This window comes from Homo sapiens, chromosome 9, assembly GCF_000001405.40.
Source record: "Homo sapiens chromosome 9, GRCh38.p14 Primary Assembly".
Classification (NCBI taxonomy): Eukaryota; Metazoa; Chordata; class Mammalia; order Primates; family Hominidae; genus Homo; species Homo sapiens.
Window position 1 is genome coordinate 329256 of NC_000009.12, and position 27429 is coordinate 356684.

The 27429-nt window shown below is 42.8% G+C and overlaps 1 protein-coding gene across 17 annotated transcripts in view, besides 1 other annotated feature; it reads left to right on the top strand.

The window, feature by feature from the left end:
• Positions 1-27429, top strand: part of DOCK8 (dedicator of cytokinesis 8) — a 253999-nt gene that overhangs the window by 117999 nt on the left and 108571 nt on the right. For all 17 annotated transcript variants that reach the window (XM_017015173.2, XM_047423927.1, XM_011518045.4 and 14 more), the window contains 5 exons: positions 3143-3223; positions 4970-5129; positions 7327-7463; positions 9751-9844; positions 10904-11066. In XM_017015173.2, coding sequence (XP_016870662.1) covers positions 3143-3223; positions 4970-5129; positions 7327-7463; positions 9751-9844; positions 10904-11066 — 635 coding nt within the window. The remainder of the gene's footprint in view (positions 1-3142; positions 3224-4969; positions 5130-7326; positions 7464-9750; positions 9845-10903; positions 11067-27429) is intronic.
• Positions 1727-2702: an enhancer, noted in NCBI's record as "OCT4-NANOG hESC enhancer chr9:330982-331957 (GRCh37/hg19 assembly coordinates)". NCBI's record gives its function as "activates a minimal SCP1, AML or CMV promoter by ChIP-STARR-seq in naive H9 embryonic stem cells {active_cell/tissue: H9 hESC(naive)}" and the evidence as "EXISTENCE:reporter gene assay evidence [ECO:0000049][PMID:30033119]".

A 27429-nucleotide genomic window follows, 5' to 3' on the forward strand; every position in this document is an offset into this window, starting at 1 on the left:
AATCATTGTAAAAACAAAACAACAAATTCAGGTGTCTGATTTCATGTGCCCCCAGCCTCTTAGGTTTGGAACATTATCTAGTTAGTACAGTGTTTTATGTCTGTAGTCTCAGTGATCGCCCCATGATCTCATGGATTCCAAATAATTCAGGTAGCTTTGAGGTCACTTAACAGATGGCAAATGTCTTTTCACTCTAGCTTCTTTAACACCATATAACAAAGATTATGAGAGGTTACTGTAGCTTGAGGGGAACTTATTTAAGCTTATAGAAGTATAGTTAAAATTATATTGCTGAAAAGACACTTCTATTGTTGTCAAACTTCAATGTGTCTCCTTTTCGTTGCAATATTACTTAGACATACAGGAAAATTAAAGCCCACTATGATAGCCCTGTAGGTAAGTTCACAATTCTCTGTCAGCCTAGGAAACTGAAGAAGCCAACACTAGTTCTATAGAGCCAAATTTTATCTCAAACTCTACTTCCCAGTGGATGACTTTCTCTTGATTAATCCGTCATATTCTGCCAAGTAACAGTGGTTACCCATTGGTTCCTATCACTTACTAAATATGTTCCAAAATTTTCAAATGTATAAATGTGTTCATTTGGCATAACAAACATACTAAAGTGTTTGGATAGGTTTAAGAAATTGAAATCTACTCAGCAAGACAGCCCCTGGTTGGCTTTCTGTTTGCTTTTCTTTATCGTAATGCCATCATTGTTGCTTCTTTCCCTTTAAATATATAGTAAATGGTGTTAAACTATTTAGCACATCCAGGCAGACATTATTTGGTAAGAGGGGCTTCTTTCTTTTTTGTTTATATTCCCAGGCCGAACATCAGGGTCTTTACTGTATTTTAGGTAGCATCATCTAGTTCAGGTGTTGCATATAATACGGCTTTAAGGGATTATTTCCGCTTAAAAGTTTAATTCAAGATTTTGTGAAATTTTTTTTTAAAAAGAATTTGTTTTACAATCAAGGAAAGAAGAGTGAAAATGGGATTGAATTGGAAACTTTTCAAAAATTGTTTAAAAATTGGTATGCCGTGCCCAATTTAAATATTTCATAAGTTGCGATGGGCCTATCCTTATGTAAGGGCCACATAGTTTGAGAAAACACAAAGCAGAGAGCCTAGCACTTTAGAAGTCTTGCAGATGTTAAATTTCCCATCTTAAAGAGTTTACAATCCAGTTAAAAAAACAACTTGGCATTCAAAGAAATGGGTTCAAATTCCTATTTTGCTACATTTGCTGTGTATGGTAGCAAGTTTAGTCTGTCAGTCTAATTGGACAATGATCCCTGTGCCTGAGTGGTTTTGAAGAAAATTGAAATAATGTATGTAAAAACACCTACCCTGTACCTGACATACCATAATTAGGTAAACAATAAATGGCCATGAAATATGAAAAAAATAGGTATGCCAAGTGTTAATCCTACCCCTTCTGAATAGAGCAGAAAGTAGTCTGTTCCCTTAAGAAAAGTTTTAGGTTAATCTGATAGGCTTATTTGCCCTACTTTCCATGGTTATGAGGAGTCATGCATTTCATTACACACTTTTGCATAAATCATGAGGGAACAAACAATAGGTTCTCATGTCGGTCTGCAGCTCCTTCTCATGAAGTACCTGGAGTTCTCCTTGCCCACTGCAGCCAGGGCATAGTATCTGCTGGTCTGGTCAAATCTGACTTCTCCTGCTTCCTGTATGTTCCATGATACACACTACTAGTGCATGAAGCCGTGGCATTCCCCTTCCTTGCTTCAGGGTCCTAATTAAGAAGTTCTTCATCTCTGTTCAGAATTTATTCTAAAGACCACATTTTTAATCCATTCACTTCATGGAAAAATTAGCTTCCTTCCAATTTGTTCTACAAGCTCCTGACTATGAGCTTCAGGAGAATGGGGGCAGTGTTTATCGCCACCTTATCTCCCAGCTGCTACCATATAGAAGGTACTCAACAATAAGTAAACGATTGCTGATTAGCAGGAATACTGGTCAGTTTCTAGCTCAAGTGTTACGTGCTTATGTTTTCAGTGTGGTGCATCTCTCAGTGGGATTCGCCTTCTCTTCATGCTGTGGCAATGGGAGGGGGTTTTGAACTTCTTTGATGAGAAGAGAGACTTCCTGCTTGGAGTCCTCCCTGAAGCAGATATTCATTGAGTAGCCTCATGCTGCTTCCTTTGAAACCCCATAAATGCCCCTTTATCATGGGTATTGTTAAATACTTTGTGCCTAACTCACAGCACCTATTAAGTATGTGTCCCTTTTGTACTGTGTTGACCCAAATTCTTTCTTCAAGGATCATCTCAACTGATGGGACTAAATCCACTGGTTTTACTCTTCAACATCTAAGTTAAATTTTTTTTGAGCAGAGAGTTAGGAAATTTCAAATTTCTCCTTGTCTTTCTTTTAAATATGGTGCCCAAATTTATGACAACTGGCCAGCCAGTCACTTTACCTGAAGCAAGACAGAAGACACTTCATTCATTCTTATTACCAGCATTCATTCCTATCAACAGCCAGTTAGCAAAGCAAGAAGCTGCACATCCCAATGCTTTTGAGTTTCTTTCCAAGTCTGTTAAATCCAGAGAATTAGCCCTGATAGGAATTACAAGGGAGACAATTACAGATAATTTATTCGGTTCAGTCATTCATTTTGTGGAAGGTTTTAGTCCCTAACCCAACTTTCACAGAGACCATATCTCTTTTTTACATTGTAAGCAATAATAAAGAAAATGAGTTTTCCACTTCCTACGTATGTCTCCTGGGTTTTGTTTTATAAAATAACTTTTATTGCTGTTTTTATTATATACATAATACATGTTTATTGTTTAAAATAGAAAATACACATAAGCAATGGGAAGAAAATAAAAATCACACATAATCCCACCATAGAAAGTTAACTACTATTAACACTTGCTGCATTTGCTGAGTATCTACTGTCACCCTTTTAATATGCCTTTATGATTTGTTAAATAAAATTGTATGCTATTCTTTATATAAATTTTTTAATAAAAAAATATGTATCACAGATAGCTTCCTATGTCATCAAATATTGTCATAAAATGTAATTTTGATGGTTGCATAGATTCCTTTTTATGGATGTAATTTATGTGCCTTATTTTAATATTCTTTTTATTGGTAGATTGAAAAAGTCCTGCAGCAGGGAGAGATTGGAGACTGTGCAGAGCCCTACACGGTTATCAAAGAAAGTGATGGTGGAAAGGTATGGTAATTTGAGTGTTGTTAAATGGAGACATCTTAGAAGAAGCAGGTATTTTCAGAAGTGTTACACAAATAGTTAATGGGCTTTAGTCCCTAATGTGTCCCTATATAAGACACTACTACATTTTAATTAAATAAAAGAGGAAAAGAAAACTGGTCACCGATGATGACTTTTTTTTTTTTTTTTTTTTTTTTTTTGAGGCAGTGTCTTACTTTATCTCCCAGGCTGGAGTGCTGGAGTGCAATCACGGCCCCCTACAACCTTGAACTCCTGGGCTTGAATGATCCTCCCCCTTCAGCCTCTTGAGCAGCTGGTACTACAGGCACATGCCACCATGCTTGGCTAGTTTTTTATTTTTTTTTAGAGATGGGGTCTCACTGTGTTGCCCAGGCTGCTCTCATAATTCTGGCCTCAAGTGATTCTCCTGCCTCAGCCTCCCAAAGTGTTGGGATTACAGGCATGAGTCACCATGCCCAGCCTGATGATGATTTTTTAGAGAAATAAATCCTTGAATTTTCTAATGTTGACATACAGCAAGGTCTGACTGCATAACTTGATTGGGGCAAGGCCACCCCCTGTTGTCTTCATTCTGAGGCTCTGACTCAGCTGGTTGGGAGGTCCGTGGAGACCCCAAAACTAAACAGTGCCAGAGCTCTCCTGGCCTTCCTCAACAGCATGGGCCGCTGCCCTTTCAGGTATGCAAATAACTGGGAATTGGCTGCCACTACCATGCATTATATATATTCATTAGCACAGCATAGGTGTTGAGCCTATGAAAAGGATATCTTTTCTCAACAGCAATTTGCAAAGATTCCCAGTGTGATTTTTAAAACATGGCCTTGGCCGGGCGTGGTGGCTCACACCTGTAATCCCAGCACTTTGGGAGGCCAAGGCGGGCAGATCATGAGGTCAGAAGATTGAGACCATCCTGGCCAACACGGTGAAACCCCGTCTCTGCTAAAAATACAAAAAATTAGCCGGGCATGGTGGCACGTGCCTGTATTCCCAGCTTCTCAGGAGGCTGAGGCAGGAGAATAGCTTGAACCTGGGAGGCGGAGGTTGCAGTGAGCCGAGATCGTGCCACTGCACTCCAGCCTGGGTGACAGAGTGAGACTCTGTCTCAAAAAAAAAAAAAAATAGCCTTTCTGGAATAAGACTTACCTTATTAGTATTGTACTCTACAGACTCATAAATGTCAAGTAAGATTTATTGAACTCAAGGCATTTTTTTTTTAAAATCTGTCTTTTATTCTGAACTCAGAAAGAACACCTTGGAAGTATTGTAAACTTCCTAAGGAGTTGTTAGGAAGCTTTTTAGAATTTTTTGGAGTTTTCCAAGGTGACTTTTGGAGAAACAGGTTCACTTGGGAGCTTGGTAGATGATATACTAAACTTGATTTCAAGATTCTTTTATGCAAATCCAAGTCACATAGCTAGCCACCAAAAGAATTGATAATCTGATGTAATGAGTCTCTTTTTGTTTTCGTTAGCTAAAAATGTATTTTACTAATTAAATGTAGCCTTTTTGTAAACTCCTCGTTTTTTAATCTTTATTTCCTTATCAGCTAGACCCAAGTGCATCATTTTTCTGCCTATTCACTGTTTTTATTTTTTAGTGGGAAGATATGTTTTTACTCTTTTTAATCAGTAGGGTTTGGATTTTGGAGATGGCTGTCATATTCAGGTCAGAGGCAGTTGACTTGGTGCTGATGCTTGTTTCAGCTTGTTTCTTTCCATTTTCCTCCAGAGTAAAGAAAAGATTGAAAAACTAAAACTCCAAGCTGAATCCTTCTGCCAGCGTTTGGGGAAATACCGGATGCCCTTTGCCTGGGCACCCATAAGCTTATCAAGCTTCTTCAATGTCTCCACCCTTGAGAGGGAGGTAACTGATGTGGACTCTGTGGTTGGTAAGATTTTCACCTGCAGTGGGAAAGGGAGGGCTCCCCAGTGTGCGCTGCCCAGGTCCACAGCTTACTAGCGGGGACTGGGGGCACAGTGAGGTGTGGGAAGTGGGGAGGCAGAAGGAGATAAATAGAATGAAACACTGTTATGACTGGATTACGTAGATTTGGACGGTGATCTCCAAAAGAAATTATCACGAACATTGGTGAAGATTAAGTATACTCTTATAGTAAGATTTTCTAGATGGTATGACACTTTAAAAAGCTGATTTTTGCTAGCCACCCGCTCTCAAAAGTAAAACTTTAACAAGAAAATGTAGTAACCATCTGTAGTGTGTTAAGCAGAGACACCATGGTCGACTCCTAAACCTAAAAAAAAAAGCCTCTGTTACAAAGGCTTCAAAAAGCAAAACTCAACAGGAACAGGGCGTGGTGGCTCACGCTTGTAATCCCACCACTTTGGGAGGCCGAGGTAGGCGGATCGCTTGAAGCCAGGAGTTCGAGACCAGCCTGGCCAACATGGTAAAACCCTGTCTCTACTAAAAATACAAAAAATTTGCTGGGTGTGGTGGTACACGTCTGTAATCTCAGCTACTCGGGAGGCAGAGGCAGGAGAATCGCTTGAACCAGGGAGGCGAGGTTACAGTGAGCCGAGATCAGGCCTCTGCACTCCAGCCTGGGCAACAGAGCATGACTTTGTCTCAAAAAAAAAGAAAAAAGAGAAAAACTCAAGTTTCCCAGCAAAATTTCCAGTTCGTTAAAGTTTACTTTGCCAAGTGCAATGAAAAAATGGGCATCCAAAGAATATTTACTGTTTTAGTTTATTTAGCATATTTCTTTTTCGTCATCTCACCCGTGATCTGAATCATTCATTCCTACACTGCTTGGTGTAGAAATTTTCAAAAGGGTTGCAAATTTTCAAGTAGACCTGCCCATATCACCTGTGGTGGGGTTTCTCTTTCCCTAAATGCTTTTGTATCCACCAAATATAGAAGTCCATGTTCACATCTTTTCATGCATTCCTTAAGCTAAGGCTTAAGCCACTTCTGAAATACTACCTTGAGCAGGGAAGTGGAGGAAAGGGCATTTTGTGATTGCTGCTGCTATTTTGGAGTTACTGGTACATAATCACCAGTCAGAACTCCTGGGTTATTTCTGGTTCGTCAATAACAAACCTCACTTTACCACATCCTGATCTTCCTGCCACAGCTTTCTTTAATGCCGTCTATGTAGACCCAAGTAACTTATTGATAAGAGTTATGTATAGAGCTTAGAGGGCACACAAGCTAGGTAATTCAGGATAGGGCATGCTGAGGCCTCAATCATCTCTAGGTCAAGGATAACCTGACAACAGAGACTGATTCTTAAGGAGCAACCAGAAGATGCAAAGATGTCATGTATTATACTGAGGCAGAATGGCAAGTTTAGGTGGGTAGAGGTAGCAAGAAATTCTAATTCAACATCATGGTAAGAATTAAGGATAAGAAGATACTCAAAGACGGGTTGGAACTGCTCTAGTTCTAAGCAATTTGATTATTTACAAGAGAACCCATGAGTTTTTGCAATATAAAAGCAACAAGATCTCCACCCAAATCCCAAAAGGGGATAAGAAACAACTGGGCAAACTATCAGGGTCCCAGCCCAAGTCTGAGTGTGATTTGGGGTTCTAATTCCCATTGGGCAGATCACCCAAGGCAGAAACTCAGTCTTGCTGCCTGGTCCACATAATGAGAGCAGAGGAATGCTGGGATTCAGAGTGTACACAGGCTGACCCCAGCATGTTTGGGTCACAATCACAAATGCCTTCAGGGGCATTTGAGTACATGCCTCTCCCAGTGGAATGCAAATATAGAAATAAAAGAAAAGCAAACACTGTGCTGACTAAATAAAGCTTATCAGGAGACCCTGTTCTGGCTATAGCTCTGGACTCTTGCCGGGTGGCATTTGGGCTACCCTAATTTCCATGTGGGAGGGGCCCATGGCTGCTCCTGGCCTCTCTCCTCTGGTCGGAGGAGGATTAAGGACACCAACAGGAGGACTAAGAAAGGTAGGGGCCAATGGAAGGACATTTTCATTCAAAACAAGGATGGCCATATTCAGTGTTCCTGATCAGTGACTTTAATCATACATATTGTGAAGTTAATAACTGCTGTGTGTTTGAACAGAAAGGCATACTTTGGAGTGACAATTGTTTTTCTTAAAGGGAGAAGCTCAGTGGGTGAACGGAGGACATTGGCCCAATCTAGAAGGCTTTCTGAAAGAGCCCTCTCCTTGGAGGAAAATGGGGTTGGATCCAACTTCAAAACCTCCACTCTGAGCGTTAGCAGCTTTTTCAAGCAGGTATCTCTTCACATTACAGTGTGTCTGGATTTTTCCCCATACTGGCATGGGCACTGGAACCCACAGGAGGAGGATACGTAGTGATTAAGAGAGCAAATTAGTTAAGCTCACTCTCTTAGTTCATTTTCTGCTGCTTATAATAGAGTATCTGAAACTGGGTAATTTAAAAAGAAAAGGGATTTGTTTCTTTCAGTTTTGAAGGCTGAAAAATCCAAAGTTGAGGGCCCACCCTTGGTGAGGGCTTTCTTGCTGGCGGGGCCTCTCTGTAGAGTCCTGAGGTGGAGCACGGTGAGCAGCTGAGCATGCTAGCTCAGGTCTCTCTTCCTGTTCTTATAAAGCCACCAGTTCCCCTCCCATGATGCAGATTAATCCATTAATCTGTGAATGGATTAATCCAGTCATGAGGGCAGAGTCCTCATGATTCAATCACGTCTTAAAGGCTCCACTTCCCAACACTGCCACCATGGGGACCAAGCTTCACCATGAGTTTTGAAGGGGACATTCAAACCACAGCATTCACAAAGCCTCAATTTCATTAGCCAGAAAACGGGAACAATAGTACTTAACTTCATGTGGCTAGCAGGAAGGTCAGGTGACATGAGACCTGTCAAGCTCTTCTTAGAGTGCCTGGAATACAGTAAGTGCTCAATGAATGTTAGCTATTTTAACTGAGAGAAGGGTTAGGTTTTGTTCCTTGTGATACCAACTATCCTATTTGAACTATCTTGGCCAATCCATTCATTATGCTATGACAACAGTCTGGCTGGGCCATCTCCTTCCCGGTGGATCTCAGGGTTTCTTGGCCTGGCTATTCATGTGCAAGTTTCCACTTTCACTACTGCTTGATGTGCAAGTTTCCAGGGCTCCCTGCTTGCTCAGAGAGGGTGACCATTCCAGATGGTACTCTTTGTTAGCTCAGTAAACATCAAGACTATTTAAAAAAATAAAAAACTTCCTAGACTTGTCAACGGTATAGAGACAGAAAGTAGAATGACGGTTGCCAGGGTCTAGGGATAGAGGGGTGGGGAGTCACTGGTTAAAGGGTACAGAGTTTCAGATTTTTTTTGCAAGACAAAAGCATTCTGGAGGTTGGTTGCACAACAAAGAGAATGTGCTTAACACTACTGAATTGTGCACTTAGAAACAGGTAAGATGGGCCGGGCGCAGTGGCTCATGCCTGTAATCCCAGCACTGGGAGGCCGAGGCAGGTGGATTATGTGAGGTCAGGAGTTCAAGACCAGCCTGGCCAACATGGTGAACCCCCGTCTCTACTAAAAATACAAAAGTTAGCCGGGTGTGGTGGTGCACACCTGTAATCCCAGCTACTTGGGAGGCTGAGGCTGGAGAATTGTTTGAACCTGGGAGGTGGAGGTTGCAGTGAGCCGAGATTGCCCCACTGCACTCCAGCCTGGGTGACAGAGTGAGGCTCCATCTCAGAAAAGAAAAAAAAAAAGAGGTAATATGGTAATTTTATGTTAGTTATATTTTGCCACACTTAAAATAAACTCGCTTGGTCTGACTCTGTTTTGGAAAGTTTTCCATAGCTACGCAGTCTTCGTGGAGCATTTAAAGGGGTTACATTAACAAACTGAAATGCAAAAGGGATGCTGAGGGCGCCTGTGCACCGTGCCACATCATAGAAATAGTAAAGGTCTGAAAAGGTTTCTATTCAGCATACATGTACCCTTCCCAATCTTATGACCTTGGAGGACAAGGTACTTAACTAAGTCTGGATGGTCTCACTGGGAATAAGACATATCTACCCACTTACCTTACTGGGTTGTTGTAAGGATTGGAGATCATGCATGTGTGCTCCTGACCCATCTTGGGCATATGTGGGGGTGGACAGCATTTATACTTAACCTTGTTCGAGACAAATGTGAAGAAAATGAGATGGAAAGATGCTTTCTCCACCTTCGAACATTTGAAGAAGAAAGTAAACTTATTCTGTATTGTTCCGGGGGGTAATACTGGCATCAGAGGGTGAGAGTTATCGGGGGGAAGCTTTTGGCCTGGTTTTCTAATGGTCAGACGGGCTTCCTTAGAATGCAGCAGATGCCCCATCCCCAGAAGGACTGATAAGAGGCCGAGGCACAGTGAGTCACAGTGATTGAGAAGGATTTAACAAGAAGTGGAGCTCAGTGATTTCAGAGCTGTCTATAATCCTAATTTCTATGAAAGACTTGTGAGAATAAAACTTAAAGGTAAAAATCTTCCCAGAAATCGTTTGTCCCCAACCCAAGAGTCAAAGGTGCATCTACATTAACTCTGACTTTTCTCTTGGCAGGAAGGAGATCGCCTTAGCGATGAAGACTTATTCAAGTTTTTAGCTGACTACAAAAGATCATCATCCTTACAGAGACGAGTCAAGTCAATTCCAGGTGTGAATGACTTATCTTTATCCTCTTTAGCTGTGCCAAAACTGCTTATCGTTAGACACAGTCTTTGTCTAATGCCAGAATTTATAAAATCATGTTTGCCAAGTGAAATGTGAGATTTTGTGTTAGGGGTTAAGAATCTGAATTGTTCTATGTCTTTGGCAAACCTATTAATGTTTTTTTAATTTTCTTAAAGGATTGATTTAGTAAACAAACCTTGTGCTTTAGATCTGGTTTCTCAGATAATGAGATAATTGTTTAAACAGAGGAGCCCCTTTAATCAAATAAAATATTATACTTAGTATTAAAAAAGTAAATGTGAGATGCTTTGGTAGAAGGCAAAGGCATCTTCCTTATCCTCACTCGGCAGCCCTGGAGGTACTTCTGTAGCATCCTCAGGTCCAGGGAAGCCAGTTTGTGTTTGTTTTTGTTTTTTTGAGATGGAGTCTTGCTCTGTCACCAGGCTGGAGTGCAGTGGCACAATCTCAGCTCACTGCAACCTCTGCCTTCCAGGTTCAAGTGATTCTCCTGCCTCAACCTCCCGAGTAGCTGGGACTACAGGTGCCTGCCACCACGCCCAGCTTATTTTTTGTATTTTTAGTAGAGACAGGGTTTCACCATGTTGGCCAGGATTGTCTCGATCTCTTGACCTCGTGATCCACCTGCCTCGGCCTCCCAGAGTGCTGAGATGACAGGCGTGAGCCACCACATCCGGCTGGAAGCCAATTTTAAAACTCCCAATTTTTACTGCTAGCAATGCAGGGAAGTTACTTAACAATGTAAAATTATACTGTGGTAATTCAGGAAAGAACTTTAAAAATCCTCTAATCCATTCCTTCTCATTTTACAATTTCTTGCTTTATATTTTATTTTATAGAGGCTAAATCTCGAAAGTTATCATGACACACTTTTCTCAAGCTGTAGGAAATTAGCTCCAAAACTTTTTTACAGTACTATAGTTTGTTCTTATTTTCATGAAAGAAACACAGTGCAACAATCTTTCTTGATTCCCTCATAACATGACAGTTTCTTTACTAGAACATTCCTATTTTCTCTCTTTAGGCTTGCTAAGACTGGAGATTTCTACAGCTCCAGAGATCATCAATTGCTGTCTGACTCCTGAAATGCTGCCCGTGAAACCCTTTCCTGAAAACCGGACACGCCCGCACAAAGAGATTTTGGAATTTCCAACACGAGAAGTATATGTCCCTCACACTGTGTACAGGTAAGAAACACAGGCTCGGGCTGGGCGTGGTGGCTTACACCATAATCCCATAACTTTGGGAGGCCGAGGCAGGAGGATTGCTTGAGCTCAGGAGTTTGAGACCAGCCTTGGCAACATGGCAAAACCGTGTCTCTACAACATATACAAAATTTAGCTGGGCATGGTGGTGCATGCTTGTAATCCCAGCAACTTGGCAGGCTGAGGCAGGAGAATCGCTTGAACCCAGGAGGCAGAGGTTGCAGTGAGCCAAGATTGCACTACTGCACTCCAGCCTGGGAGACAGAACCAGACTCTGTCTCAAAAAAAAAAGAAAAAAAGAAAAGCAGGTTCTTGGAAAACCGTTGAGCTCACATTCTGAGTTTTATTTGAATAACGTTTTCTCATCCTTCAACCTGTCTTCCTACTTCCTAAGTTTCAGGGAAATGAAATGTGATATTTATGTAACCGTAGGTGATTGCCAAATCTCTTTCTAAACATAGTTTACCTAATTCTCTTTAACAAGAAAGGGTTACTTCAGATGTAATTGTAGTTTAGGATTATAGTGGACATATGTTTTCCAGAGATTAAAAAAAAAATCTGCTAGCCATTACCTTTGTTCTCCTCTGTGCAGAGGGACATATTAGAAAAAGAGCAATGTGACCAAAATGTGCTAGTTGTCAAAAGGACAGGTTTTCAGCTAAAGATTAGCTCTTTCCAACAGAATTTACAGCAATAACATAATAATAGCACACATTCCAATAGCATTTACAGCAATAACAGAAAGTTCTGTATGTGTGCCAGCAGTACAATAGCCACTAATCACATGTAGCTGTTCAGCATTTGAAATGTGGCCAGTGCAATGGAGGAACTGAAAAATTGATTTTAATTAATTTTAATTTAAAGTCAAGTAACTGTATGTGTCTACTATATTGGAGAGTATGGAGCTAGACACTGAAGGCCTAACAGGTTGGGCTGCCTTGGTTTCTGAATCGCTTATGGTGGCACCTGACCTATTCCATGGGGTCTGGAAGGAGTGCTTGTCAACACATATCTGCCAAAGGCATTAATGCTCATGCACTTCTTTATTTTGAGACTATTTCCTTTAATGCAGAAAAGGATGCCTTCTATAAAAATCATCTCTTCCCCACCATCCAGAAATGACATTGTTGTTTTCTGTGTTTTTATATAAAAGAAATACAGTGGTACTGATTCAGTTGAAGTCTTCTTTTATCCCCAGTCTCCAGTCACAGACTTTTACCTCACCTCCTAGACTTTTATCATCATGAAATTATGTATTTCCTATTTTTTCTCCTTTTACACACACTTACACACACATCTGTGAACGCTCAATGGCATTATCTTCATATTCATTTAAAATGTACGCAAATGACTTCACACTCTAGGTCAGGGGTCCCCAACCCCCGGGCCATAGACCATTACTGGTCCTTGGCCTGTTAGGAACCAGGCTGCATGGCAGGAGGTGAGCATCGGGTGAGTGAAGCTTCATTTACAGCCACTCCCCATTGCTGGCATTACCACCTGAGCTCCTCCTCCTGTCAGATCAGCAGTGACATTAGATTCTCATGGGAGCATGAATCCTATTGTGAACTGCATATATGAGGCATCTAGGTTGTGCGCTCCTTATGAGAATCTAATGCCTGATATTCTGTCGCTGTCTGCCATCACTTTCAGATGGGACCCTCTAATTGCAGGAAAACAAGCTCAGGGCTCCTACTGATTCTATATTATTGTGAGTTATATAATTATTTCATTATATATTGCAATGTAATAATAATAGAAATAAAGTGCACGATAAATGGAATGTGCTTGAGTCATCCCAAAACCATCCCCTGCCCCCCGCTGCCACCCCAGTCCATGGAAAAATTGTCTTCCATGAAACCAGTCCCTGGTGCCAAAAAGGTTGAGGATTGCTGCTCTAGGTGTTATATTACACTTTGTTTTTGTCACTCAAAAGATTGATTTGTTTTTCTTTTTTCTTTTTTTTTTTTTTTTTGTTTGAGTATTACTATGGAGTCGTGAGTCATTTTTCTTTCTACTTACCCAGATTTCCACAAGTTTTACCAATGGGAACTTTTTAATGGCTTGCATTTTTGGAAATATCAGTATTGATTCATGTAAAGGTTTGTGGGTTTTTTTGGGGTTTTTTTCGTTTTTTTGTTTTTTTTTGAGATGGAGTCTCACTCTGTCACCCAGGCTGGAGTGCAGTGACATGATCTCGGTTCACTGCAACCTCCGCCTCACAGGTTCAAACGATTCTCCTGACTCAGCTGCCCGAGTAGCTGGGACTACAGGTGCCTGCCACCACACCCAGTTAATTTTTGTATTTTTGGTAGAGACAGGGTTTCACCATCTTGGCCAGGCTGGTCTTGAACTCCTGACCTCGTGATCCACCTGCCTCGGCCTCCCAAAGTGCTGGGATTACAGGTGTGAGCCACCATGCCCATCCTGTTATTCCTTTTAACTGCTGTTTAGTATTCCTTTGTGAAGAGGCCATATTTTATTCATTTCCTTGTTGATACGCATTTAAGTCTTTTTCAAGTTTTCAGCTCTTACAAACACTATGAAGTAAGATTTTTTGTCTTTGCCCCTCTGTACACGTTTGTGAAAGTTTCTTTAATATATCTAAAAGTGAAATTACCAGATCACAAGTAATACACATTTCAGTCTTAAGTTTTCTAAAATTTTACATTTGCAGTCCTAACAGCAGTGTGAGAGAATTCCCATTTTCCAGTTCCTCACCCATACTTTCCAGTATGACGTATGTGGGACTAAAATGCAAAGAACTTCAGAGCTCACCTGATCCAAGCATTCCCACCCCCACATTTCCAGATGCACAAAATTAAGACCCGGAAAGGATAAGTGAATGGTTCCTTGAGGTCAAAAATTACAGCGAGGTGGCCAGACACAGTGGCTCACACTGTAACCCCGCTGCTTTGGGAGGCTGGAGGACTGCTTGAGTCTAGGAGTTTAAGATCAGCCCGGGCAACATAGTGAGACCCCCATCTCTACAAAACATTTTAAAAATTGCCCAGGTGTGGTATTGTGCATCCCTGTAGTTCTAGCTACCCAGAAGGCTGAGGCAGAGGATTCTTGAGCCCAGAAATTCGAGGTTAGCCTTGTGCCACTGCTCTCCAAATCAAGCAACAGAGTGAGACCCTATCTCTAAAAAAAAAAAAATAATTTAGAAAATAAAATTATACTGAGAAATACAAACAGCTATTCACACAGGAATGGAGAGTTCTTCTTTACAGTATTCAGGAGGTATACACTTATTTCCCCATTTAATCCTTCCTGGAGCAGCTCTTCATTTTCAATCCTCATTCCTTACATCTAAACTTAGTCCCCACGTCTCCCTCCTAGAGGAGATAAGCATTCTCAGGATGCAGTAGTTTCGATTCTCTATTCCTTAGAGGAAGATGAAGGCATGAAAATGTTTGCTTATGGATGCTTTGTATCTTTTTAGAAACTTTATCCTATAATCGGGAAACAATGCTTGTGGCATTGGAAGAGACTTGCATCCAATGAATTCTGTAGTTATTCAACTTCCCCTCAGCATTTAATCACCCACAGGTGGCATTTACAATGTTCTCTACTCGTTCCTGCAAACATTATCCCTTAATTACATCACAGTGGGACTTAGAGTGCATTAGTGCACTGAATGATCCAGAAATGTAGGAGGGCAAAGGAGGACAAGTCTGGACGGATTACAATGGACCCAACTTGTCATCATGAGAAACAGACCCACAAATACAGAGTTAATCTTCTTGAGCTGTACTGGCCACTGTAGAAGTGCCAAGGACACCCCGTTAGAAATGCCAAGGCCACCCTGTTAGAAACCAGGTCTTGGGGAATGACAGAAGAGATTTCTCTCCAGTTTGGTTGTGGCCCCTTCTCTTGGCTCACAGTTCTTCTCTGTGGCTCTCAGGCCACCATATTTTATAGTCTATTTAAGGAAAGAGAGAGATAATGAACTTGGTTTGGAATCTTACTTCATGAAAATTTCACAGAATTTAGGAAGCATCTTGTCTAAATATCTTGTTCTAAATTTTTAGTGTTCTTCTCCAGTCCTTGTGTGCTTTAGGGTGGTTTTGATTAGATTGGGCTTGACAGTTACCCAGTCCCAGATGAGTGTCCCCTTTCCTGCACCTCCCCCCATTCACGACATGGAAATGGAAAGAATCGAGTGAGGTCTGAACCCCAGGTAAAATTGGCAAGCTGACTAAGTTCGCCTTGGGTGACCTCACCTTTTCATTTCTGTCCATTTTCCTCTCTTTTTGTTCCTTGCCATCTCCCCATATCTCAAAAAACCTGGACCTTGTAGCTTTTCTATACTGGCCCCCAAAATAAAAGTCTCTTTTCAAGCAACGATCTCTAAACTCATTTGCTATGGTATTGATAACAGGTATGGATTAGTCTTATCACTCCCAAGAGTATTATCATTTTGGGCCAGGTGTGGTGGCTCACACCTATAATCCTAGCGCTTTCGGAGGCCAAGGCAGGTGAATCACCTGAGTGAGGTCAAGAGTTCGAGACCAGCCTGGCCAACACGGTGACCCCTTGTCTCTACTAAAAATACAAAAAGTAACTGGGCGTGGTGGTGGGTGCCTGTAATCCCAGCTACTCAGGAGGCTGAGGCGGGAGAATCGCTTGAACCCAGGAGGCAGAGGTTGCAGTGAGCTGAGATCCTGCCATTGCACTCCAGCCTGGGCAACAGAGCAAAAAAACTCTGTCTCAAAAAAAAGGTATTATCTTGGCAGGGACAGCAGTTCCTATTTCTTAATTGAAGAAATCCAGATTTCTTCTCATTCCAAGAGTCTGTCAGGTAACTTTCACTGTTGATGTTGCTATTTCCATGCCAATCAATAATCCTGATCATACCTGTATCCCTTAAGGAAATCAAATAACTGAAAATGAAGATCTGTGGGGCAGATAAATTCAGGAATATTTCTTCGTTTATAGAGGATTCACCTCATGAATTTGAAATATGGCTTGGCTTATAAAAAGTTGATCTGCCTGGAGCTTGTAGCTAACACCTCTGTCGGGCCAAACAATAAATGCTTACACTGAGAAAGCCAGGTTTGGGATTTCAAATTAATGTGCCCTTAACATAAACTGCAGAGCCCCCCTGGGTGGAGGGAACTATTACCTGGTTCTAATAGCAGATGTTTTCTGGCCTTGAGTGCCAGTGGTAACCAGAGTCACACATTTTAGGATTTTGGTATTGATGAGGGTTTCAGCTGAATATTACTTGAGTTGAACTCCAGTTATCTTTACCTGTCTTAAAGGAGCAGCTGCCATAGTGCCTCAGGTAAAGTTGGCTTGGGATAGGCTGGCATTGCCTTCCAGTCCCCAGCCTCACCTTCCTCCCACCTCTTCACTGCCTCTTTTCTTTGCCCTGCCCCTTCAGGTGTCCTGCGTGGGGCACCATTCGAGTTGCATTCTAGTGTATTAGGTTGGTGCAAAAGTAATTGCGGTAATGTGTGTGTGCTGCCCCGTGTCTCTACCTTATTCAAGTTTCTTTAAGGAACAGCTGTAGATGAGTTCTGGTAGAACTGGGTAGTGCTCCCAGAAGTATCCCCGTGGGTCCGTGAGGGTTGGGCATTCATAAAATAAATCCTTGCTCTAACGATAGAGACCAACTTCTAGAGCCAGAAGTGCTCATCCCAGGAATGACCAGGGGCTCCCAAACCAGCGGCTCGGGCCCTCTGCAGTGCCATGTGCAGCCTCTGTGGGTTAGAGGCATGGAGCTAGAGCAGGGTCCTCTGAACCAGAGCCAGGCAGGACACTCTGAGAAATCACAAGCAGAAGGACAGCAATTCTGAAAGCAGAGCAGAACAGCTGGAAAAACTGAGCTGATGAAAAGGATTATCCGAATCCAAGCTTGGCGTTCCTTGCTCTGTGTCCAGATTAAGAAAATGCTAGTGGTTTGCCTAGGAACACATTTGCACCAACTCCTGGCTTATTTTCCATGTGACCCAACAGCTGGTACTAGAGACACCAGCTGCTTTCTGGTGGGGGCAGAATGAAAACAGCATGGGCTGAGGCCAAGGCCCAGCAAGGTCTTCAAGGGCATCCTATCCTGCGGCCGCCAGAGGGGTATGTGCGGAGATCACAGGCAATGAGGTTGTAATGAGCTGTTAAGCTCCCTGCCGTCCCTTTAATGGGTGATTACAGTAAAAAGAGCCACATAAAGTACGTTTTCATCTCTCACTTCAGCCCCCGAGAGCCTCTGAGGTCTTGTTTATCCAATTATCAGACTTGCTGTGGAGGACGGTGCTTGCTGAGAACAAGCATATCAGTTGGAACATGATTTCTCTGATGGATAATTAGCTGTTTTCAGGACTCCTCCTATTCAGCTGAATGTTCTCAGACCAGAAGTCTGATCTGGCCTAACGGGGATGTGCTCCCATATCGCAGTGGAGTCTTAAGGAGTACTACCCACCTTCTCTTCTGCGGGGGAAAAGGAATGGCGTAGCATGCATGCAGGACCTGACCGGAAGGAATGTCTGCGAGTTATGATTTAGTGACTAGAACTTCTAAGGAAAGAAATGAACCAGAAATAACTGCAAACGAAGTGGTTAGGAAGAGGGGCAGGACATGGGGAGTATCCTTGAAAGGGACTTAATTTCATCCAAGGAAATAGGTTCCCAGTTTAAGCCCAGTTAGCTCTGTATTCAGAGTGGATCTTCTCAGTGCTAGGTGAAGGAAGGGTGGTTGTGCATCAGAGTAAGTGTCCAGCCCCACCCTGAAGACTCCCATTCAGGTGGTCTGGGATGGGGCACTGGTGGTCTGACACTCTCTTTTGTTCAAAATCAAAGCGTCCCCCTCCTTCTCATGGAAGGGAAGCTTCCACCAACCCTTAATGAGTTCCTGTACCATATGGAGTTGTCAAATGCTCCATACCGGGCACAGCGGCTCACACCTGCAATCCCAGCACTTTGGGAGGCCGAGGCGGGAGGATCCATTGAGCCCAGGAGTTCAAGACCAGCCTAGGCAACATAGCAAGACCCTGTCTCTACAACAACAACAAAAAAATTAGCCAGGGGTGGGGGTCCACACCTGCAGTCCCAGTTACTTGTGAGGCTGAGGTGGGAGGATCGCTTGAGCCAGGAAGGTCGAGGCTACAGTGAGCCGTGATCATGCCACTGCCCTCCAGCCTGGGCAACAGAGTGAGACTCTTTCAAAAAACAAAAACAAAAAACTCTGTCCTAAGTATCAGATGATGCGGAAGCCCAGTACTTGGTTTTACTAGGCTTAGCAAGCAGTCGCTTATGGAACAGAAGCTTTTATAAACAAACCATGTAGTTAGGAAGGGCAGTGGCAGCCCAGGCAAAATCTAGTCATTTGAATTAGCCAAGGAACGGAGACAAAGACAAAGTGAATTTCTGGTGCTAGTTGCAACTTGGTCTCGATAATAAATCAGGAACACAATCCCCACATTCCTAATGCCTTGCTCCAAAACTCAGCAATCCTCCTATTTGTAAGAATGAAAAAATTCAGGAGGGAACCAATTGCCTAAGGTTATGACAGCAAAGCTACCGTTCCAGTATAATATTCAGCCACTAGAGGACACAATTCACTCACTTTCTAGATTCAGACACACGACTACCTTTTTCGTTACAAAACATATGAAGTCGTGATTTATGAAAGTAGGACACATATTGTATTTTTTGCCCTTGAAGTGCAAGACCAGGAAAAACTGAAAAGTATTGCAGCATCCTCCGAGATCACTGTTGTCATTTTTTCGCAAAGGATTTTATTCTAGCCTGTCAGTTTCTGCCTCCTTTCATTAGTAAGTCCTGACCTTAGACATCTGGCATTTTTTTGGAAGGTGTAGTGGGGAGGGGGACCAAGAGATGCATCCCTTAATGTAGCTAAAGATCGAAATCTTCTCATTTTGGGGAGAGTTGCTTACTATACATATTTACACATTCACCAATTTTGTCTCATATGTAAACCACAGAATGTGCCGAATTTTCCTAGAATCATGGTTGAGGCAGGTAGGAGTAAGGAGGTGCTGTGTACATTAGTGTCACTGATTCCACCGTTCACAACTCCATACCACTCTCCTTATTTTATACTCTTGAGTCCACAGTGCTTTGGTGTTACAGCCCATATAGAACGGTCCTACCTAAAAGTCCTGCGGTCGGTTTAACAGTGACGAGTGTCATTTTTCCACTGTCCTTTACATAGAATTCAGCAGGAAGCTTCATGAGGCACCCTGTTTCTACATGAGTTGCCCTGGTTGGTGGAGGCAGAAGCAATGGAGAAGTGGTGATGAAATTAAGTCAAAGTTAGGCTTGCATTTGACTCTGATCTTGAATAGTTTGTCTAGATTAGAGGGAGCACCTAAAATCCAAAAAGCCTTTTGTCTTTGATTTCTATACTTTTGTTAGTTTTACAAATTATTATTTAAAATCAGTCCTTTGAAGTGGCTTCTTCTCTTCTGACGGGACAGCTTTGGGAAACTGTTTAGTCTTATTTCTTTTGCTATTGGGAAGTTGTGGGGGACGCTATTTTGCAGCTTTTTCATCCTCAGTTCTGACCTCCTCATGTGCTTTACAGATGCCCCCAAAGGTCAGCATTCATCCACCTTTCACTGAGAGTGTTTGGCCATCTCTAAAGCAGAGGTATTTTAACAGCTCTCCTTAATGGATGTCCTGTGGTTTCAGGCCTCAGACAGGCTGCCCTTGGGCCCTCAGCAGAAGTCGGGAATCGTCTTATACTTCCAGATCGTCTTTTACTCAGGCAAAATATGAGATGCTGTGTCAGGGTTTCCCAAGGGAAGAAACTGAGTGGGAGGTGCAGGTAAACCCCACAGTACAAAATAAAACAGAGCTGTGAGTAGTTGAAAGGACTGTGTTTTGACAGCGTAATAAGGTAATTGTTTAAAACCATGGCTAATTCATCAGATGTCATGTGTCTTTTATAGTTAAAAGATGAAATTTCTTTACCCACTGGTGTCAACAACAGAAAGATTCTAAAACTTTCAAAAAATGTGCCAGTCCTGGCTGCTTTGTTTCATGTTCTTTGACAACTTTCAAAATGTAAATTGAGATTCATGCAACTATTAATGGAAATATAAATATCATGGCTTCATAAGGATAAAATTAGAGGAGCTCAACATAACGGCTCATTTTAATGATTTCTAAGGGGTTTCCATGCCCAGGCTAATAACTGTACATTTAGCAATAAGCAAATCTCAAAGCCTATTTCTTATCTTTCCCTAGAATTACAGCTTTTAAGCCCAAGCTGGTCGTTCCTTTTATACCACTCCACTCACTTGATAGGGGTGACATGGGCTGAGCTTTCTCTCCTATCAGGGCTCAAAGACAAGTTTAGCAGCGTTTCTAAACTTCTGTCAATCAGCTCACAGGACACAGACCAGTTTCGTTATCCCATTAACAGATTTACATTTCTGTTCTCTGGAAGTGTCAGTTAATGTCCTTAAAGGTAATATACACAAATGTACACAATAGTCTCTGAATTTTTCTCAGAAGACACACTCAGAAACCTTAGAATTCTGATTCATTCTCTTTGGCTCAGACTTGGATGAATTTGCTTCTCAGAGTAGGGACATGAAAATTATTCTTAATTTATACTTCATGTAATCTGTTTCTTCTTTCTCCCTCCGCCGCCCTCCAATAGCTCTTCTGAGCTTGTTTGTTCTTCCCCTAACTCCCATTGTTGAAAACATGGCCTCCCCTCATTCTCACCTTTCCAGGAATCTCCTTGTGCTCCTCAAGTTCGGCTCATCGCAAACTTGGAGTTCTGTTTTCTCATGCCCTTCTTTCATTTTCTTCTTTTAAGAGACAGGATCTTGCTCTGTCTCCAAGATTGGAGTGCAGTGGTACGATTCTAGCTCACTGCAGCCTCAAACTGCTGGGCTTAAGTGATCCTCCCAACTCAGCCTCCCAAGAAGCTAGGACCACTGCTGTGTGTCACCACACCAGCTAATTATTTTATCTTTTCTAGAGACAAGGTCTCACTCTGTTGCCCAGGCTGGTCTTGAACTCCTAGCCTCAAGCAATCTTCCTACCTCAGCTTCCCAAAGCACTGGGAGGTGCCACTCTTCTTGTGTTTTTTACCTTTGCATTTATTTCCTGGTTACAATACTTTTAACTTAATGGCTGCTGAACTAGATTCTGCCAATGTACGTGCCGTCCAGGACACGTTCATGCCACTTTAATTTTCTTAGAACATCAATGAGATAGTCTTACTAGGGAGAGATAAAGGGCAGGGGTTTGGTTTTCTGGCAGGTTTTCTTTCATTTTAATAACGAGCCAACCCACGGAGGAAGGAATTGATTGATGGCTGCTTCCTCTTTTGTAAAGAACAAACATCAAATTAGTGGTTTGTCCTCACTTTGCGGATAAGCAGAATAATAACACCTGTGCCTCTCCCTGCATTATTTTGAAACTAATATAATTTTGTTTGGACAGAACGTAGATAGCAACCTTAATGGGGAGGAATGTGGAAGAGGAATTACTGAAGGGGGACCAGTCAGCCTGTCAGGCAGCAACTCTGGTGCCAAAGAATGGACATAGGATCAGAGCTGTGGACCCCCGTCCTGTTTGTAAACTTCCTGAGGGTGGCAGAGATTCATACCCTTTCTCCCATCAGGACAAAAATCAGTGTGTTGGAGCTCACTCAGGAAATGCTCTTTGGGATTGGCATGGGAAGGGGATGAGGCCGATTGACAATTAGCCTAGTTCACTGGGATTTTGTTGTAGGAGCTGGGTGGTGGCACCATATGGCCAACAGGGGATGCCAGCGACATCCCTAATTTCTCTGGCTTCCTGATAGGTCCTGGTAGGGTCGGGGTTCCACCGGGATTTGCCTAGTATGGTCTACCTCTGACTGAAATTAAACTCTAAGTAGGTAACTGGGGAACGCCTTTCTCCAGAGAGAAGGTTTTGATGTGATCTCATCATCGGGGACTGGATTGGACCTGGAGAAATCAGTTTTTCTATAGTCTTGTTTCTAGAGTGGCACCCTGGTCTTGGGCAGGTCAGAAGGACAGATAGTTGGTCACCATCTTCAACACAAATCATGGCTGGAAAAGGGCCCCAGTAGGGAGTGCCTTTCTCACTCACCAATCACCAAGGCTAGAAGATAGTCTGCAGATTCTTTCAGATGCCACAAAGCTGTGATTACAGCTGCCCATTGGCAAATCAGGTACTAGTTTTTGTTAATCACATTGCAGTCTTCCTTCACTGTTTCTTCCCCTGGTCCCGGAATTAAGGCTGGGCTCCATTTGACAAGTTATCTTCTGTGCAGGTAGAGCAGCAGGCTGTGTTAGCTCACAGCATCTACTCAGTAGGCATGGAAATATCCACTGAATGGGACTGAGAAAGTGGAATGGGAGGGGAACGTGTGAAGAACAGGAAGTTTGCCTCTTTATGTCCAAAGTCTGTCTACTTAGAGCAACAGGATGGTGATGATGCTTTCTGGTTAAAGATGTCATGGCAACAGTCTTCCCTAGACAGCTCTCTAGCAATAGCCAGTGGCATGTAAACCCTGCATTTTTGCACTGTATCCAGTGTTTGCAACTCCCTTGTAGAACTTTCCCTGAAGTCAGCAAGAACCCTGTGAGAATCAGGATTTGTCTAGAAATTTAGCATTTACCTAATCAATGATTCTCTAGACATGTCAGTACCTCCAAGTGATTCATATGCATGTTTGGTGGGCGTCGAGCATGTGGCAGTTTGGAGAAGGAAGTGGAGAATGCAGCAGCAGCAGGAGAAATGTTTGATGTTGCTAAACATCAACCCCACAGCAAGCCTAGAACTCGGGGAATGGGAGGCATGGTGCGGGTAGCTGCTGACACACAGCTCTAGAGATAGCTGCCTGCAAAGCTGGATGGGACTCCAGGCAATAGGCTTCAGGGCCTAACTGCTCTTTCAAGGTCACTGATTGTTACAGGAGCCATGGTCTGCAGCATTGAGCATGGAATTATTATTACTATTAAGCATGATCCTCACCGTGATGCTCTTGGGGTGGAACAAAAGAGCCCAGAGAGAATATGCTTATTTTATGCAACCTCTAACGTTTCCTCCCAGAGTTGTGATGAAACTGAACCAAACTCTAGCATGAGAATCGGCATCCCAGGCCAGCAGCCAAAACAAGTGGTGACACTTGGCCAGGCACGGTGGCTCATGCCTGTAATCCCTGCACTTTGGGAGGCCGAGGCGGGTGGATCACAAGGTCAGGAGTTTGAAACCAGCCTGGCCAACATAGTGAAACCCCATCTCTACTAAAAATACAAAAAATTAGCTGGGCGTGGTGGCGGGCACCTGTAATCCCAGCTACTTGGGAGGCTGGGGCAGGAGAATCGCTTGAACTTGGAGGTGGAGGTTGCAGTGAGCCAAGATCGCGCCACTGCACTCCAGTCCAGTGACAGTGTGAGACTCTGTCTCAAAAAAAAAGTGCCGATACTTTATATATCTTCTGAAAGAAATGAAGTCTGTAAGAAGGACTGTTAACCCTCAGAATGGTCTGGGGATGCTACATCCCCTTGTGGACTTGTCACACTGGTATGAGTGTAGGGAGTGGGAACACTTCTTCTCAGCTCCTTCCTCACCATGTGTCATTCAGGGACAAAGGGAGCAGGATATCTTCCCTTTGAAAAATCTCATATGCCTGGCAATACTCGTCACCCTGTGAATAATGTTGATGCATTCACCTAACCAGTATTATAAGCCCCTGCTGTGTGTCAGACACTATGCTTGGTGCTGAAATAGACAAGGAGGGGACTGCCTGTCTTGGAAGGCAAATCCCAGTCTCCTAAGAGACACTAGAACCACAGGCAACCATGCTGATCTATGCAATGACATGTAATGCAACTTTGTCCTGCAACCACCTTGAGATCTTTGAAAGTTCTCCTACCTCCAAAACTCAGACAAGTCCTCTCTCTTGCCAAGTGCCTAAAGCAAGGATATGTTTATAGAGGCAGCTGGGGGCATCTGGCCAATTTATTTCCCAGCAGACCTGCTGCTTCCCCTGATTCCAATACTTTCTTCCCCAACCCAAACCAAGGCGTCTGGCAATGTTAAAAACATCAAGAATGATAAAACAAGCATTTTAATGAAGATTATTGATGTATTCATTGGCTGTTTCTTTAAATGGGTAGAGAACTAATAAAGGATCTACCCCAAATAACCAAAAATATCAGCCTCAGCACCAGCAGAAATTGGAAGCGTTCTGGTATTTATATGTGTTTTTCTCAGCTGGCAGATTTGTTTTAGGAAACTATTTGCAAAGCCTGGGAAAAATGTGCTTTCTCTGTCTGTTAAAGGAACATGCAGGTTGGTTGGTGCTGGTTCTCCATCTGACAGTTCTGTCTGGTGGCCTCAAAAAAAAAGAAAAATACAGCATAGTCCAGATTTGGACTATGCAAATGGTGTCTTGAAACTTAACTTTTAGGTCTTGAGCAAAGCCAAGTATTATTGAAATGTTTATTTTGTTTTTATCTGCAGGAGGTTTTCATTCAAAATGTGGTGCTTTGGGGGAAAAGGAAGGGTGTTTGTACTAGGTACTTTTTAGCATTCTTCTTATTATCTGACCTATCACAGCCTCTTCAGGAGACATTAATTAATTTAGTTCATATAATCAACACTGGAACCAAGGAAAAATTATTTATACTTTTAGAAATTCTCATGTTCTTATACTTCTTTGGAGATTGAATTGACTCCAAAGAGACTATTTTGTGATTAAGAATATTTTTGTGGCCGGGCACGGTGGCTCACGCCTGTAATCCCAGCACTTTGGGAGGCCAAGGCAGGTGGATCACCTGAGGCCAGGAGTTCAAGACTAGTCTGGACAACTTGGCAAAACCCTGTCTTTACTAAAAATACTAAACTTAGCCAGCCGTGGTGACGGGCGCCTGTAGTCCCAGCTACTCGGGAGGCTGAGGCAGGAGAATCACTTGAACCCGAGAGGTGGAGGTTGCAGTGGGCCGAGATCACAGCATTCCACTCCAGCCTGGGAAGAATATTTTTGTGTGGGGAGTCGTTATATTATGTCCTTAGACCAGGAGGTCCAATTGAGGCAGAAATTTTTGAAGTAAAACCATTTTTTTTGAAGGAAACACATATTTAAATATCAAAGAACACTGGACGTATACTTTTAAAAATTTACATACTTGTGTTAGTTATCTATTGCTGTATAACAAAACCTTTGCAGCTCAAAACAACAGTCATTATCTCACAAGTTTATGTAGGTTACGCAGGTGCAGCTGACCTGCTTGGTCTGAGCTTTCGAAAAGTGCAGTGAGGATGTCAGCCTAGGCTGCCGTCACCTCAAGGGTCCCCTGGGGGTGGATCCACTTCCAAGCTCACTCATGTGGCTGTTGGCAGGATGCAGTTGCTCACGGGTTGTTAGGCTGAGGGCGTCGGTTCCTCACTAAGCCAGAGGCTTCCTTAAGTTCCTTAACATGTTTTCTCATGGGGGGCAGCTCACAGTGTAGCAATTGGCTTCGTCAAAACAAGCAAGCGGGAGGGTAAGAGACAGAAAGCAAGACAGAGGCCAGGGTCTTTCACAGCCTAATCTCAAGAGCAGTACCTCATCACTTTTGTCCTATTTTGACAAACGTCGTATTGACTTTTGTCACTACATCAGAAGCGAGTCACTAGGTCTAGCCCACACTCAAAGGGAGAGGATTTCACAGAGCAAGAATATCAGGAAGCAGAATCATTGGTTATTTCATTAGAAGCTGCTGGCACAGTTCTTAATGAAGCTACAAAACATTGAACTGGGAGGAATATGGGGGTAGGAGGGTGACAGGGAGGGCAGGTTAATTTTGTGGATGCTGAGGACAACGTGCCTCATGAAAAGTGTTCCCATCAGACTGGTGTATTTCTGTTTCTTTTCTTTTTTTTTTTTTTTTTTTTTTTTTTTTTTGAGACAGAGTCTCGCTCTGTCACCAGGCTGGAGTGCAGTGGCACAATCTCAGCTCACTGCAACCTCCGCCTTCCTGGTACAAGCGATTCCCCTGCCTTAGCCTCCTGAATAGCTGGGATTACAGGCATGTGCCACCACGCCCAGCTTATTTTTTGTATTTTAGTAGAGACTGGGTTTCACCTTGTTGGCCAGGATGGTCTCAGTCTCCTGACCCTGTGATCTACCCACCTTGGCCTCCCAAAGTGCTGGGATTACAGGCATGAGCCACCGTGCCCAGCCCAGAATGGTGTATTTCTAGGACATCTGCAATGCATCACTCTCTAATAAAAGAAAAAAAAATAGCCACTCCTTGACAGATACTCAAAGGTGTGGAGTCCCTTACTAAACCACACTCCAAAGAAATAAGCCTGCAAAATAGGGAAAAGTTGTTTTTTACCTAGAAAGCAGATTCTCTGCATTTTCTTATTTTCAAATAGTGGGGAGAAACCCTAAGCTGTACATATGAAGGAATGGATTCATTTCTCCTCTTGCACAGCACCCCAGCACCTTGTACACCCTATTCCTCCCTAACTCCCAACCGCACACTCACCTCCCAAGCATCTGCAGATCTACATACATATTATCAAATGTACAGAGTACTGAGTGAAATGGTCACTGTAGCTATGGAAAGGTGAGATTTGCAGGCTGTCTGAAATGTTTCTTGCTAAAGTAGTTCCAATCCTTCCCCCATTTAGAAAAAAATACATTCTTAGTAAATGACTTTCAGGCAGAAAAAGAAAACCACACTGGAAATAGGATTCTAATAAACCAACATGGGGCTCTAGCTGGTGAACATATTTCTGAGCCATCCCTATACAGAAACCACAAGACAAATAAGAAAAAGTAAATCCAGATCACTTAGACCCTTCAAACCACATCCTGGGTTCCAAGGACAGTGGCTGCGAGTTAGGAAAGATACATTTATCCAGTGGACCTTTTGACTGTCTTGTCAATCTTAAGAAAAAAATGTAGAGTAAAAAATTTTGGCTGGGCGTGGTGGCTCACGCCTGTAATCCCAGCACTTTGGGAGACCGAGGCGGGCGGATCACGAGGTCAGGAGATTGAGACCATCCTGGCTAACACAGTGAAACCCCGTCTCTACTAAAAATACAAAAAAAACTAGCCAGGCGTGGTAGCAGGCGCCTGTAATCCCAGCTACTCCGGAGGCTGAGGCAGGAGAATAGCGTGAACCCAGGAGGCAGAGCTTGCAGCGAGGCGAGATTGCACCACTGCACTCCAGCCTGGGCTACAGAGCGAGACTCTGTCTCAAAAAAAAAAAAAAAAGAAAAAATTTGGTTTGGGTCCCTTCCCACCTTCCCTTGCTTCATCACTTTCCTTAAGCCTCTAAGCATCCAGATCTTCCCCAAAGCAGTGCTTCCTAGTCAGTGATTACCCTATCCTCTTTTTATTCCTTTTCTTCATG